This window comes from Homo sapiens, chromosome 14, assembly GCF_000001405.40.
Source record: "Homo sapiens chromosome 14, GRCh38.p14 Primary Assembly".
NCBI classification, from domain to species: domain Eukaryota; kingdom Metazoa; phylum Chordata; class Mammalia; order Primates; family Hominidae; genus Homo; species Homo sapiens.
The window spans coordinates 95,629,450-95,646,155 of NC_000014.9; the positions used below are offsets into that span (position 1 = coordinate 95,629,450).

General features: G+C 48.0%; 1 annotated feature.

The window, feature by feature from the left end:
• Positions 16,109–16,168: an enhancer, noted in NCBI's record as "active region_8967". NCBI's record gives its function as "activates an Ori minimal core promoter by ATAC-STARR-seq in GM12878 lymphoblastoid cells {active_cell/tissue: GM12878}" and the evidence as "EXISTENCE:reporter gene assay evidence [ECO:0000049][PMID:35858748]".

The window sequence follows — 16,706 nt, forward strand, 5'->3', positions numbered from 1 at the left end:
CCACAGGCACTGTGAGATAATGCACGTTTGTTGTTTTAAGCCGCTAAGGTTTGGAGTAATTTGTTATGCTCCAAAAGATACCAAATACAGGCAGGTTAATTAGCCTTTTTCAGCCTCTTTCATTTATAAAATTGGGATAGTTATACCTTGCAGAACTGTTGTAATGGTTAAGTAGGTCAGTGTTTGGAAAATACCTGGCATAGAGCAGATGTTCCATAAATGCTCAATTTCTTTTCTCTTAGCCTCCCTTTTTGTTTTCTAAAGGGCACCCCAGCAGTGGCAGAAAATAAGGGCAGCCGCCAGCAGCGGCAGAAACTCCAGTCTTTAGCAATAAGTTTGTCATGCAAATTCAGCATCAAGACAAATACCCAAGGCCAATTACCAACCAGACCACCTCCCTTAAACCACTTCTACACAGAAATTCTGATTGATGTTGCCTTTGAGGCACTGCTGGAACTCTTAGAAGCTCCAGGGCACAGCAATGGAAAACCACTGATAGACAGATAGACTCCACTTAGAATATTCACTTTGCAAACAATGAGGTGAGCGTGTCACACACACCACCGTGTGTAACTCTCAAAGATGTGGAGGTGATCTGTGGGTTTGACCAGCTGAAGGAGGGATGGAGGAGCAGCTGCTTCGGCTCTTTGTTATGTAGGAGTTCTCATCAATCGTGCACCAGCCACAGCTTCTCAGGGTGATTACTATGATCTTTTGGCTTCCTCTGAGGCTTGACAATTCAAGATATTAATACATTACCAGGAGTGGAAATGTTTGGAATATTAAATGTCATTATTTTAAAAATGGTTCCTCCATCCCCAAAAAAGTGGTTGTAAATTTAGGAGAGACATGTCAGAAGTGGAGTGAGAGCGTGGGCATGGATTTGTCTGCTTAAAAAAATAAATGTGCCATCTTAAGTACTTTTTTAAAATGTGGCACCATCAATGGGAATGACTTGCTTATTGAAAATGTACAGTGTGGGCTCGGTGTGGTGGCTCATGCCTATAATCCCAGCATTTTGTGAGGCCAAGGCAAGTGGATAGCTTGAGCCCGGGAGTTCCAGAGCAGCCTGGGCAACATGGCAAAACCCTGTCTCTACTAAAAATACAAAAAATTAGCCAGGTGTGGTGGCGCGTCTGTAGTCCCAGCTACTCAGGAGCCTGAGGTGGGAGGATCACTTGAGCCCAGGAGGCAGAGGTTGCAGTGAGCTGAGATCATGTCACTGCACTCCAGACTGAGTGACAGAGTAAGACCCTATCTCAAAAGAAAAAAAGAAAATGTACAATGTATAGGTGGGGCCCTTAGAGGAAGAAAGGAGGTGAGAAAAGACAGAAGAAGAATGCAGAAAAACTGTACTGGGATTAGAGCGGGGACCTGAGGATTGGGGGCAGAGGAAGTTGTCAGAATGATTCCAGTTGGCAGACTCGAGCACTGGAGAAGGTGCTCTAAAACTCGCAGATGCAGGAAAAGGACAGAGACAAGACAGACATCTTAGAGTGAGATAGATACACATACGAGACATACATCACCCAGTGAGGAAAATGGAAGAGTATTTGCGGGGGCTCAGGCTGAACAGAGGAGTTAGTGACACCGCAAGGAAGGGTGAGAGCATGTGCCACAAGCTAGAACCAGTGCAGCTGGGCCAAGGAGAGAGGGTGGGAGGGGAGGGAAGATAGTCATGCTTGGGATCAACTGTTTAGGGCTTTTCCTACGTTCAGTTTTTTGTTGTAATATTTACTGAGCATTTACTGTTGTGTCATGTCCAAGCTAGGCAGGAGGGTGGGATCTGCAGAATAACGCATCCCCTCCCCAGAGATGTCCATGTTCTACTCCCTGGAATCTGTAAATATATTAGCTCGCATGGCAAAGGGGAAAATTAAGATTGCAAATTAAATTAAGGCTGCTAATCAGCTGACTTTATATAAGGAGATTTTTCTTGGATTACCTGGGTGGGCCTGGTGTAACCACAGGGTCTCTACGAGTGGAAGAAGGAGCCAGAGTTAGAGTCAGAGAGGGAGAAGACACTAGGAGAAAGGTCCAAGTGTGAGAAGAATCCAGCCTGCACTTGCTGACTCTGACCATGGAGGAAGGGGCCATGAGCCAAGGAATGTGGGCAGCTCTAGAAGCCGAAAAGGTGAGAAGTGGATTCTCTCTCAGCCTCCGGAAGGAACGTAGCCCTGACGGCATGCAGATATTAGCCCAGGCAGACTTGTGTGGGATTTTGAACATACAGCATTGTAAGATAATAACTGTGTGTTATTTTAAGCCACTAAATATGTGGTGATTTGTAATAGTAGCCATAGGTAAGTCATACAGAGGGGAAGGCATTTTTTTTTCGAGATGGAGTTTTGCTCTTGTTGCCCATTCTGGAGTGCAATGGTGCGATCTTGGCTCACTGCAACATCCGCCTCCCGGGTTTAAGCAATTCTCCTGCCTCAGCCTCCCGAGTAGCTGGGACTACAGGCATGTGCCACCACACCTGGCTAATTTTGTATTTTTAGTAGAAATGGGGTTTCTCCATGTTGGCTGGGATGGTCTCGAACTCCTGACCTCAGGTGATCTGCTTGCCTCGGCCTCCCAAAGTGCTGGGATTACAGGCGGAAGGCATATTTTAAGCTCCATGTCTGATTGTTCATCCCTGGCACTCATCGCCTGGTACAGGCTCATTAACGATTTGTGGAATGAATGAATAAGTTAGGGCTCCTTAGTCAGTGTTTCTGGAATGAACAGTTAAAGATGCCAAGAGGATGGTGGTCTGGTGGGGGAGACAAGGCCGTGAAGAGTCCCCATGGAGTGAGACTGGTGCTTGAGCAGGCATTAACACAGAGGCTCACCACAGGCACCCACCTGCCCTGGGTCGGCGGCCATCACAGATTCGATTCCCAGCCAGTGGACTCTGAAAGGGAGGTTGCGTGCAGGAAGCATATTGGGGCTATTGTGAGCAACACCTGCAGCGGTGCAGGGCAGGGAGCAGGGCTGGGCAGAGGCAGAGGCTGCCATGTGGCATGGTTGAGCATAGGAAGCTCTAGATGGTTCTTCAGAGTTGCACTGAGTGGAGGCCAGCAGCTGCCTCTCTGCCCTGGGCCCCACTGCCCGCATCGACAGTGATCAGGCTGGAAGGACGGCATGGCCTTGGGAGAGGCAGTTCTCTTGGTAGAGGGCAATTCCTGGGAAGGGACCCAGCGAGGATCTCCCAGCCTCCAATAACCCCACAGCTGGGGAGGAGAACTCGGTCCTGAAGGAGGATCTAGGTGATGCCCTACAGCATCTGCTCTGGGAGGAGAGAGGGAGGAGCTGGCGGAAGAGACTCCCTGTGGACTGGGGCTGTAGAGCAGAGGGCAGAAGGGATGTCCAGGCTGAGAAAACAGCTGTGGCAAATTGTGGAGGCCTGGAAAAGTAGAAAAGATGTGGGTCCTGCAAGTCTTTGGGGACATCTGGAGGGAAGTGTGCAGAGGGGGACTGGACATTGGTGAGCAAGGAGCCTGGGAGGCGAGTGATGACCATGTGATGAAAGAGCTTGCAGATGAAACAAGGAGGTGGCTTCATCCACTGGGTCAGGGTGTGGCAGGATAGGGTCTGGATAGGCTTTGAAAGCTTTCTGGGGCACAATTCAATGCAGAGGAAGCCATGGGAGGCAGGGAGGCTGCAGTCCAGGTGAGGGTGATGAGGCTGCTGGTGCTGGCTCAGTTACTGCAGGGCTGAGCCAGGGGACCTTGGCAGAGTCCCCAGGGCAAAGCTTGTCTCCAGAAATCTCCTCACAGTGTGTGTGTGTGTGTGTGTGTGTGTGTGTGTGTGTGTGTGTGTGTGTGTTGGGGGATGGGGATTAGAGTAGGATCTCTGCATTGCATGTGCTGGAAGGCACTGCTAGAGGGAATGGCCAGGACCAGGGAGGATCATTGCTGGGATGAGTCTTCTTTCCTTTTAATCCTTGGGATGACACTGATGAATAACTCACCTTGACGTTGGCAGTAGTGCCCAAGAGGTCAAGCTGTGGTGAACCCCAGGTGGGCACAGGTCTGAGATGGGGGTTAAGCATTCTCCACTGGGAGGGGTCACAAGAATGCCAAGGGAATGAGAGCCACACAGCCCAGGGGAGTCTGAGGTGCCAGAAGCAACACCAGGGACTGGGGCAAAACCCTGCTGTTTTGGCCCAGAGGGTGTCATGACCCTGCTACTTTGACCTCATTGTTCAGCAAGCCACTGGTGAACTTGAAAGAAATAATGATGCTAAGCACAACCACCTGGCAGAAGCCAGGATAGGTCCAACAATTGCTCAGTGAATCCAAGCTTTGTTGTATGACCACATGGACAAGATAAGCCATGCCCAGACCCATAGCTAGCTGCCCCATGCATGCCAGGGGTGCCCCCAGCCAGCACTTCCTGAAGTTGTAAGATGCAGCAGCTCTGTGCCTAAATCGAATCCTATGAAAACAATTTCTAAAATGACTAGTGGACATGGGGAAAGCAAGACACAGCTCATAATGTGTGGAAAACTATTTTAATGTCTTACATTAGTTCAATGGAGTTCATACAAAAAATAGTTGCTTACCAAAAGTCACTATTATCATAATTTTGATTCCAAAGCTCCTACATATAAACATGGGATAAGCCATCTCTGAGGTCACAAGGGGAAGACCAGCATGGCCACTGGGTCAGACTGGCAGGGTCAGAGTGTCCTGAATTCCCAGATGGAACCTGGAGTTTAATTTGGAGCAGATATAAGAGTGGGCATTTTGGAGTACAGCAGAGAGAGGCTGTTGTGGCCTCTGTCCTAGTGGGTCTTGGTAACACAGTCATGAAATCAAAGAGCCCCCACAAGTCTGATCATTATTGAGTGCTTTCTGTGTGTCAGAGGCTGTGCTGGGTGGTGGTCAGGGAGGGGGTGTTACAGGCTGATATGGTTGGAGGAGGGGCCTGCTGGGAGGTGATTGAATCATGGGGGTGGACTTGCCTCTTGCTGTTCTCATGATAGAGTTCTTATGAGATCTGGTTGTTTGAAAGTGTGTAGCACTTTCCCCTTCACTTGCTCACTCTCCTGCCAGCCATGTGAAGATGTGCCTGCTCCCCTTCACCTTCTGCCATGATTGTAAGTTTCCTAAGGCTGCCCAAGCCATGATTCCTGTACAGCCTGCAGAACTATAAGTCAATTAAACCTTTTTTCTTTACAAATTACCCAGTCTTAGGTATGTCTTTATAGCAATGTATGAATGGACTAATACACAGGCATTGCTACATTGGAAGCTTAGCATAGCTAAGAGGTAGCAGAGGTAGTTTCTCCAATGAAGGAACAATGGAACTTTAGGAGAATTAAGTCAATTATCTCAAAGATAACCAGCTGAGAAAGAGTGACCAGGATTAAAACACAAGCTTGCTGGACTCCAGAGGTCCCACTCTTAACTCCCTGCTGGGCTGCTTCTGGGAGAAGATATATATAAGCCATCAATACACCATTGTGTGAGCCTAACCCCTTCTCCGTCTTTCCAGGCTCCTACCGGGCCAAGCCTCTGCCATCCTGGCTGAATTATTGCAAGAGCTCCCTCATTGACTCTGCATCCACCTTGTCCCCAGCCATCTATTCTTCACATAGTAGACAGTCATCTTTTAAAATTCAAGTCAGATCACATTCCAGCACTGCTCAGAAGCTTCCAATCACTTCCAGCCATGCTCAAAGGAAAAGCCAAAGAGCTTTCTGTGGTACACAAGGCCTTGTACCACTTGGCCTCATCCCCACCTCTCCTCCTTTCCTATTGCCTTCCTCTGGCTCTTGCTGGCCTCCTGCTGTTCCTTGACCAAGTAAAGTAGCTCCTGCCTCAGGGCTTTTGTACATGCATTTCTCTTTGCCTGGAATGCTGCCTCCCCAGATATCTGCCTGGCTACCTCCTTCTGCTCCTTTAGGCCTTTGCTCAAATGAAACCATCCTAGTGAGGTTTCCCTGACCTCTGATCTAAAATTGCAGCCACTCCCCTCCCATTTTTTTGCTTGTCTCCACAGCCCCTGTTGCCATCTGACACATGGTGTGTCTACCTCTGTATGTGGGGCTTATCCATCTACCAGAATGTCAGCTCCACAAGGCCAGGAGTTCTTGTCTGTTTCCTTCACTGCTGTATCTCCAGTACCTAGAACAGGAGTTAATTCATAGACAGGGCTCAACAAAAACTATGTTAATGAATGAATGCAGGTATAGAAAGACAGAGAAAGCATGTCATTGATAAGAGTCTGTTTCTTTCATCATATTGGCCAATGGGCACAAAAGTTGTTTTGAAACAGACAACATCTAAAGACCCCTCAGTTGCTAGACAAGAGTCAGTCTAAGTGCAGGGAGGGCCCTTCATGCCCTTTTGTGGAGTCTCTGTTCTTTTCTGGAATTAGCCACTCCTGTCCAAGGCAGAGGCTTCTCCCTAAATCCCTGGGTGTGTATTTCATCTCTGTCTTCATCCAAGGCCAGGGATGTGCCTTGACTTCTGGGTGTTTTGACCAGTAGGTAAGGTTTGTCCTGCAGCTACCAATGTTCAGGGGAGGTGCTGGGGGGAGGCTGGAGACCCTGACAGTATTGGAAGGTTCCAGCCTGGGAGCATGTGAGAGTGGGGCTGGGTGGGACAGGGCAGCTTCACTAAGCAGAGTGGGAAGAATAGGCATGCTGGATGTCAGGCGCAGAGGTCCTGGGAGGAAATGGCCCAGGACACAGGAGTGTGGCTCCCTACATCTTAATTTATCACTAAACCGGGTTCTTGGTGTATGTGTGTATGTGTGGTGTGTGTGAAGCGTGTGTGGTGGGGTGATGTTATTCCTGACCTCATCATTTGGGCTTTTTCTCAGGAACTTGTGAACTTGTGTAGCAGGGAAGAGCTCTGCAATTGTTTAAATCCTGACTCCATATGAATCTAGGAGATGCTCCACCTGCCTCTGACCCTCAGTTTCTTCATCTACAAAATGGTGGTAATATTCCTACTTCATGGAATTAACATATGCAGTTCAAATAAAATAACCAATAAAAATTGGACCTTGGCCGAGTCCTAGTCTCAGTAAGCAGTTCATATTAATCCTGATGATCACGCTCACAATTTTGCCACTGGGTGGGTAGATTTTTTGGCCATTACTGTTAGTGATTCTGAGTCTCCCAACAGAGCCTGGCAAAATCTTCCTCCCCCTGTCAGCCTCAGCCTGGGTCTTTCCAGAACTGTCAGGGAAGCAGCTCCCCTTCCTCAGCTCCCTGGGCCCAGGAGGGGCGTCATTGTCATAGAAATGAGAGAAGCACGTAGGTAATTGCCTGCTGAAGGTAGAGGGAAGAGGAGCAGGAACCTTTCACCTCACCATCTGCTCAGGCTCAGCCCCATCCCTGCAGAATCCTGAGCAGGGGCTCCACTCTCCTCTCTTCCTTGCACCATCAAAACACGCTCCGGGTGGTGCCACATGAAATCCCCACATGCTCATGCCTCCATTTCTTTTTCTAATTCAAAGACATTCTGGGAGTGTCTACTACACGCCCAGCCCTGGACCAGATGGAAGCATCATGTTTGTTCATCAGTATCACTGACTGAGCACTATTCTGTGTTCAGCACCTCTTGAAGATGCGCCTAACTTAATGCTGAATTTAAAGCCTACAGCAACCTATGGAGACAGGCATACTATTATCTCCATTTTATAGATATACCCAAGGAAATCAACAATAATTCCATAGCATCTCTTAATACCCAGTTGACATCCAAGTTTCTCCAAAAGGAGGACCAAGAAGATTTGACTCAACGTTCCTCTCCCTTTCATCTGAGGTCATCCTGTAGCATATTGCTTCCAGCATTGTCCCTGGACCTTGCCCTTCATTAAGTTAACATGCTCATGTCTTTAGTCATTGGTATTCTCTGCAGTCTAGTGGGGAATGGGGAAAACAGGTAGGTAAACCATCAAGTGGTAGCTACAGTGATGGAGATCAACCCATGCTGCTTTAGGAGCATGAAGAAGAAGCTAATCAGCCTAGGGAAGGCAAGGAAGGTTCCTTGGGGAAGGGATATTTGAGCTGCACACTGAAGAGAGAGAGGTAATGTTTCAGGAAGGAGAAGGCAGAGAGAGCATTCCAGGTGAGAGAGGACAGTAGAGCAAAGGCAAGAACATGGGACATATCATGGGGACATATAGAAAAACTCAAGCAGTTAGGTGTTGCTGGAGTGTGAAGTGCAAAGCAGGAAGCAGTGAGAAGTGAGGGCTACAGAAGTCTGCAGGAGCCAGGTCATAAAGGGCCTTAAAGGTAGGTTTAAGGAGATTGGGTTTATCCTCAAGATGATGGGGAGCTATTGAAGGGTGTGGGTAATGATTTGTGTCTGGTATCACTCTGATGGCAGCAATTGGGAGCCATAATCATATCATATCATATCATTCATTCATTCATTCATTCAGACACTTATTGAGTACCTTCTATGTGCCAGACACTGTTTAGATGCTTGGAAAACAGCAGTGAGTGAAACAGCCTAAAATTCCTACCTTCATGGAACTTAAAATTGAGTGGAGGGAGACAGAACAAATGAATGTAAGGTATGCCAGAGCATGAGGCGTGTTATAGGAAAATAAACAGGGGCAAGAAAGGGTCCAGTAGTGGTGGTCTGTGTGTGTGAGGGGTGTTAGTGGGTGTCTGGAGATGGAGTCTCACTCTGTTACCCAGGCTAGAGTGCAGTGGTGCGATACCGGCTCACTGCAAGCTCTGCCTCCCAGGTTCACGCCATTCTTCTGCCTTAGCTTCCCTAGAAGCTGGGACTACAGGCGCCCGCCACCATGCCCAGCTAATTTTTTGTATTTTTAGTAGAGACTGGGTTTCACTGTGTTAGCCAGGATGGTCTTGATCTCCTGACCTCGTGATCCGTCCACCTCGGCCTCCCAAAGTGCTGGGATTACAGGTGTGAGCCACCGTGCCCAGCAGGTGGGTGTCTATTTTAAATAAGGGGCTGGACGCAGTGGCTCATGCCTGTAATCCCAGCACTTTGGGAGGCCGAGGTGGGTGGATCACGAGGTCAGGAGATCGAGACTATCCTGACTAACACGGTGAAACCTCGTGTCTACTAAAAATATGTAAATTAGCTAGGCTTGGTGGCTGGTGCCTGTAATCCCAGCTACTTGGGAGACTGAGGTGGGAGAATCCCTTGAACCCAGGAGGTGGAGGTTGCAGTGAGCCGAGATTGCACCACTGCATTCCAGCCTGGGTGACAGAGCAAAACTGTCTCAAAAATAATAATAATAATAATAAATATTTTTAAAAATAATAAGGGCCATTAGGGAAAGCTTTTTAGAGGAGTGGCACCTGAGGGAAATGAGGGCAAGAGCTATGCAATTATCTAGGAGTTCCAGGCCAAGGGAGCAGCAAGTGCAAAGACCCTGAGGTGGAAACATGTTTGAGGCATTGCCAGGAGGCCACAGTGGACAGAGCAGAGGGAGCAGAAGGTGGAGTAATGGGAACTGAGTGAGAAAAGTAAGGGGGATGGGCAGCAGATCAGGTAGGGCTCCGTTGGCCATTGTCTTGACTTTGGCTTTTAGTCTAAGTTAGATGGGAAGCCACTGGGGAGTTTTGAGCAGAGCATGACATAATAGGATATGACTTCAGGTCAAATGGTGCTGACAGGTTGAGTAGGATGAAGGGTGAAAACTGTTGGATTTGGCACAGTGATGGTCACGAGTCATGAAAGCAGTTTGGGAGGAGCAGTGGAGTGGTGAAGGGATTTGCAGGAGCACAAATAGACGATTGCTCCAGTGTTGAGTGCTGTCTTGTCACTCACATCTTAGTGGCACAGAGCAATGGCAATCATTTTATTATCTGTCATGGTTTCTGAGAATAAGGGCTTGGCTGGGCAGTTCTGACTTGGGACCTGCCAGGCAGTGTCATGCAGGCCCTCAGTGGCTGGAGCCGGAGCTTGCTGGGTGCTGATCAGGCAGATCTCTCTCTTGCTTTTCATGAAGTTTCAGGGTCTCTCCATGAGGTTGCTGGATAGGGGTTCATTTGGGCTTCCTTGCAGCATGGCGGCCTCAGGGTATTGAAACTGCTCGTAAGAAGGAGAATTTCTGTGAGCAAGGCAGAGCTGTGTGTGTGGCCTTTTGCCCTACCTTGTTGGCCAAAATACTCTGAGAAGCCTACCCCATTTCAAGTGGGAGACATGGACCCCATCTCTCCCTGGGAGCAGTGTGAGAGAATTGGCAGACATAATTAAAAACCTCCCCAAGAACTCTATCAAGGAGTTTTGCAATAAAAAGAACAAAGAAATGGGGCCACAGTGGGAGAGAAGTGTAGGGTTGAATGGCTCATTTTCAAAATGGAAGGGAGTCACTCCATGTTGATCTTGGATGTATGTGATGTATGTATCATGTATCATGGCTATAAAGTATGACTACCATGTATATCATGGGTAGAAAGAGCCCTGGCCCATACTCAGAAACCCTGAGTCTTCTCACTTACAGACTGGAGACCACAAGAAGATGGGGGGCTGCAAGGGTTCCTAGAGGACACTTAATTACATGTCTTTTTTAGAGATGGATAAACTGAGGGCTCAGTGGGTCATGACCTGCCCAGAGTCATGGAGGGAGTGAGAGGCAGAGCCAGGATGAGCTCCCAGGCCCTGAAACTTCTGGGCCAGTGGCCTACACACAGAGCTTCCCACCCTTCCTCATTGGGTTTCTGCAAGCCCTCCCCACCCCAGCACTCTGCAGGGCCTGGGAAGTGAACCAGGTAAGCTGCAGACCTAAGGCCTTATTATTAGAAAGCCCATCCTCACAGGTTGCTCCCTCACTTGGAAGGAGAATGTGGCCAATGTGTCTTGTGCCTTGCTTGGCATGAAAAGTGGGACCTTGGCAGCAGCAGAGGCAGGTGTTGCAAAATTCTAATCTTCTAATGGCTCTGGGACTGTAGAAACCTCGGGCAAGCATTGTGGATTTTGAATTTGAGAAGAGAGAAGAGCTAAAAGAAGACTTCTAGGGCATATGAAAGGCAAGTCCAGTGCCAAGCAAAGTTCCAGAGTACACCAACTATAAAAGGAGGGAGGAGCGTAAATGAAGGAGTCAGTGCTGAGCCTAGAACAGACACTAATCATCCTGGGGCATGGCAGTAATGGGGAGGAGGGGAGCTGGGGGCAGGGGTGCCTCAGCACAAGCCTAGCCACGCATGAGATCTCACTCACACCCCACGCAGCCCATACACCTGGGGTTTTCTTGATGCCATTTTACAGATGAGGAAACTGAGGCCCGGTGTGCAGGGAAACGTGGGTGTCACTGGTGGCCTGCAGATGCCCAGGAAATTGGGTCTTGTTGTAGAAGTATCACCCCAGGACTTGGGAGAAATGCAGACTCTCAGGCCTCCCTCCTCCCTGCAGAATTAGATCTGCATTTTAACAAGACTCCCCCAAGGTGGCCACACTAAAGGGCTTCCCCAGGGTCACCTCACTGAGCAGGGCAGCACCATGATGTGTCTGTCTGACTCCAATGCAAGACTTCTTTCCATTTATGTGTTTTTTGCCCTCAAAAAGCCATCAGAAGGAACTTTTTAAAAATGCAAATCAATATAATGCAAATGACTTGCTTATAATTTTTCTGTCGATTCCGATGTCCTTCAGAGCAAGCCCAAGCACCCCATCGTGGCATTCAAGGTCACAGAGAGGGTAGGTGACTTATCCAAAGTCACATAGCTGAACTCTCCTTCCAGGGGCAAGAGGCTCATTGGGAATGGGGATGCCAGACTTCCTGGCTTAAAAGCAGATGCAGGAGAGCTGGGGACAGGAGGAGGGCTGTGACTCAAACAATTCTTCCTCCTGAACGGCACAATCTAGTAACTGCTGAGGAACTGAACTGAGGGCCAAAAGTGAAGGAAGAGTCAGCGTGGGGTGGTGGCCTCGAGAGCTGAGAGTTGGGGTGCAGTAAAGCACAGAAGACATCTAAAGCCTTGTAAACCTGTTGTCTGGGCTTGTGTGGGGCTCACTTTCCTGGGAGCATTTCTGGAGCCTTTCAAAACCCCAATATTCAGGCCATTTTAGGCTGCTGTGCTGTCAGCCAAGGCCAAGGAAAGGAGGGACAGGGGGAGGGGGAGTCTGGGGGCAGCTGCCCATTCCTGCCGGTGGTTATCTCTATGATGCCCTAACCACAGTCTTGCAAGGCAGGACCATATCCCCATCTGATGAGGCCACCGTCCACACCAACCTTGAGTCACCTTGTCTGCAATGGTGGTGACAGTTTCTGAGACCTTTTTCTATAGCTATATCCATTTCTTGAGATTTTGAAGTGTTTTTATAAACCCCATTCTCTGGGAATATTTTTAATTTTTCTGTGCAGCTGGGAGGATTCTTAGAGAAGAAAAGTGCTGATTTAAGAGAAACTGCATTATTTGTGAAATACAAAATTCATCTTGTGGGTGTAAGAGATGCCTTCGTGGACGGATGAAGCTCCTGGTACTAAGTAGCAGGTAAATAGACCCCACAACTCTACAGAACAGCGTGCTCAGCCTTCCAACATGGATCTGTGCTGTACTCACTGAGCTGAGGGTCCCTCCCATGCGAGACCCTCTCTCCATGCCCTTTTGAGCTTTGTTCTTTTTTGTTTTCCTCTTTAGGAGTGCAGTGAAGCTGCTGTGTTCTCCAGCTCGTAGTTAAGGGCCAGTCAGGATCAGACATCTTGCCCTGATGGAAAAGAAGATGAACAGATACCTCCTGACCTGGATAGCAATTAATTCTGGGGACCTAGATCCCCAAGGACTTTAGGATGAGGCAGCAGTTTGGATTTAGGATCAACATGGTATTTAAAATATAAAAGCATTGTAGTGTTGGGGAAGCATCATTTAAAAGAACTTGTGGGGTCCCTGTCAGGCCCCTCTTGAGACAGGCCAGCCCCACAGAAGAGAAGGCCTAGGGCTGGCTCCCTAGGGTTGTGAGAAACTCCAGAACAGTGTTGACTTCTTTCTTCCCCTAGGGTCACACCAGCATGTAGCATGATGCCTTGCACACAGTAGGTGCTCAGTAAACACTTTTGGACCACTGAATGCAATGACCAATGGATAAAAACATTGTTCTTCCCTTGACCAGATAAGACCCGCTTCCCTGGGCGTCCACAGGCCGCTGGTGATGCACACTCTTCTCTGTGTGGCCTCTGCCTGCCGGGGGAAGCCTTGTGACCAGTTTCTCCCCGCTGAGTCAAGGGAGAATGAGGGGGAGCATGAACATTTGCTTGTTTCCCTTATGGCTTCTGAATCTTTATTTTATTTTTTTTAATGAAAATGTCTACTTGAATTTAGGTAAGGAAGACCTTGCTCTTAGTTTTTGAATTTTGAACTAGAAAAAAAAAAAAGGTCTTTCAATGAACACTAGCAGAACAGTCTAAGCAATCATGATAAAGACCTAATTCCTGCCTCTTTCTCCTGCTCTGATGGAGCTGATGACAGCACAAATGGGAGAGGGAGAATGTAGCAAGGACACTGAAGGACAGAGAGTTGTCCAAGCCACCAGGAAGGTGAAAGTGGGAATTCATTTTCTGTGCCATTGGGTGGTTCCTTAGGAAAAAACGTAGACAAAGAAAAATATTGTATTATTTGTGGAAATCAAGTTCGTATTGCAGGTGTAAGAAATGTCTTTGTGGGTTGACAGCATTTATTGAACATGAGCCTTTATTTTTGGAGCTCCTCCAACGTACCATGCACTGTCACCTTAACAGTTCCTCACAGTGACCCCATAGAGTCAAGAGTCAACTGCATTTTTGCAGAAGCGAGGCTCAGAGAGGTTGAGGGTTGTCCTAGGTATCCAGGTAGCGAGCAACAGAGCAAGAATTTGAACTCGGGTTGTAACTCTTCATTGTATGTGTCAACTTGACTGTGCAAAGTGATGCCCAGATAGCTGGTAAAGCACTCTTTCTGGGTGTGTCTGTAAGAGTGTTTCTGGAAGAGATTAGCATTTGCATGGGTAGACTGAGTAAAGAAGACCTGTTCTCACCAAGTAAGTGGGCATCATCCAATCCACTGAGAGCCCAGATTGAACAAAAACACAGAGGAAAGTCGAATTCTCTCTCCTTTCTCTGACTGGGACATCCATCTCCTTCTGCCCTTGTACATTAGAGAGCTTAGTTCTGGGTTGTTTGAACCCAGTAACTTATAGCAGCTGTCCCCCAACCCTATCTCAATTGTCAGGCCTTTAGACTTGGACAAAATTACACCACTAACATTCCTGGTTCTCCAGCTTGCAGAAAACAGGTCATGGGGCTTCTCAGACTCTATAGTCTCAAGAGCCAATTCCCATAATAAATCTCCTCATGTATATCCCAACGGTTCTCTTTCTCTGGAGAGCCCTGCCTTATGCCCAGGTTGAACAACCGTTCCTGGGTTCTTTTTCCACCTTGCCATATGGCTTCTCAGAACAAGACAAGGCCTCCACTATGGTTTGAGTCAGAAGACTCATGAAGGTTGTATGAAAGAGTTAGCGGTATTTATGAAGAATGGCTAGGGAAATGCTTTTGTCCCTTTGTGAAGAAGTGGGCACCATGGAGTGGGGATGGATTGGAGGGCCCTCTAGGAGAATGAGGCCACATGAACACAGCTGAAGATCATGAAGCATTTTAGGTAATTGCTAATAATAATAAGTAGAATTATTAATATTCATGCTGGCTGCCATTTCTGAGAGTAAATTGTGTCTCAGGAACTTCACATGCATCATCTTCCATTCTCACAACTGTCCTAAGAAATAGATTTGATTCCTAATGTGCAGATGAGTGGTTGAGACTCAGTGAGACAACACACCTTCTCCAGGATCCCACGGTAAATACGTGGTAGAGCTCAGATGCTATCACAAAGCCCAGTAAGGCAGGAAAGCAGGAGGCATAAAAGGGAGGACATCTGGGGCTCAATAGAAGTGGGGAACCCCAAGAGGGCCCATCAACCCCTCCCAGCAGCAGGAAAGATGGTTTTCAGAACCCAAGTCCATTCATTCTCTTTCCTGTGCTCCTTCCCACGGCTTTCAGCTCAAAGACACAATTGGCTCTTTAAGACCAAGAGGGAGCAATACTCTCATTAAAAACACTCACTTTTCCTCTAGCTCATGGCCCTCCACATGACTTCTCTAGCTCATGGCCCTCCAGACAGAACAAAGGGGTCCCAAAATGCCTAGCGTGGAATCACAGAATGGCCCAGGCTTGAACCATCTCTATTCCCAGAGATAGTCACAGAGATGCACGCTATGGGACAGTCTTGGCAGGGTCTTTGAGGAGGAAGTGGATTCAGCAGGATGATGGGGCTGGCATCGTGGATGCCAGCAACGTGGATGCCTGTTGGTGGTGTGCTGATGCTACACACATGCATTCACACATATATGCAGACACATGTACACACACATGCACACACACACTAAAAACACCCACAGACATGCATGCTTTTACATTTATTTATGATAGGTGTGCCCCAGAGAGGAGTATCTTTTACCAGTTGCTCTGGTTGTTTCTGAATTCTGGAAGAGTCTGGACAGAGAAATTCCCAGCATATCCTGCATCTCATTCTTGGTGTGAAGCAGGAACACGCACTCATTCCTATTTGGCTATAGTCTTCACAGCTTTCTACTGTTTCTTTTAAAAGAAGGAAACTAAAATAATATAATTCAATGTTGTCCAGTCAGCTTTGATTACTGTCGGTCCCTGTGTGTGAAGTGCTGTGCTGGCTTGAACGGGACATGCAAAAATCAAGAAGGCAAGGTCCAGTCCTTAAAGCCCTAGAGCAAGGGTTGACAAACCACAGTACTTGGGCTAAACCCAGCCCACCACCTGTTTTTGCAAATAAAGTTTTATTGGAACACAGCCATCCTCATTCATTTACATGTATGTGGTTACTTTTGTGCTCTAATGGCAGAGTTGAGTGGTTGCTACAGAGACTGTATGGCCCACAAAGCCTAAAATATTTACGATCCAATTCTTTAAAGAAAAAATTTATATACCTTAGCCCTAGAGAACTGTATTGGAGAGAATACATGCACCCCAAAAGACAAAGAGCTTGACCAGGCAGCCGTGCTAGGTGCCCTGTGAGCTTTGTGGACAGTAAGTGGCTTCAGAGTGCCGAGGAAGGGTATGTGTGGGCTGAGATAATCAGGGAAGGCTGGTTGGTGGAGGCAGGCTCTGGGTTTTTTAGTGAACAGGAGTGTAGGATGGAGTAGTGGTGGGATGAACACGAGGTCGTTCCAGGTGTGGGCATTGGGGTGAGTTCAAGTGCAGAGGTGAGCACAGAGCATGGCGGGGGTGAACATTTGTGGTTTGGAGCTAATCAGCATCCACTCAGCCATGGCTAGTCATGGCTAGCCCCGATTTCCTTTGAAAGTCGTCACAATTTGCTTCTAATGAGGGTGAACTCCTCCCTGCTTCTGGGAGCATGCAACTCAGGCCTGGCCAATCAGAGCCTCAGGTCCCCCTCTGATGATAGTGATTGGCTCAGGGATGAGCACGTGAACCAGCTCTGGCTGCAGAGCCAAAGAGCCCCAGTCCTAGACTTGTTTTGGTCGTTGAGGAAGCCGATTGTCCCCTCTCCAATCTTCTGGTTGTGAACAAAAGATGGTGTCACTGAGGCAGCCACCTTCCCAGTTCTGGCCCCACAGGTTGAGCCCTGAATCCAGCGGGGCCTACCCCTTCCCCTCCCCCTAGACTTTCCCATTATATGAACATATTTTCGTTTTTGCTTATGGCCATTTGGGTTGAGCTATTTAATATTTGTTGCTTGCAAACAGAAGAGC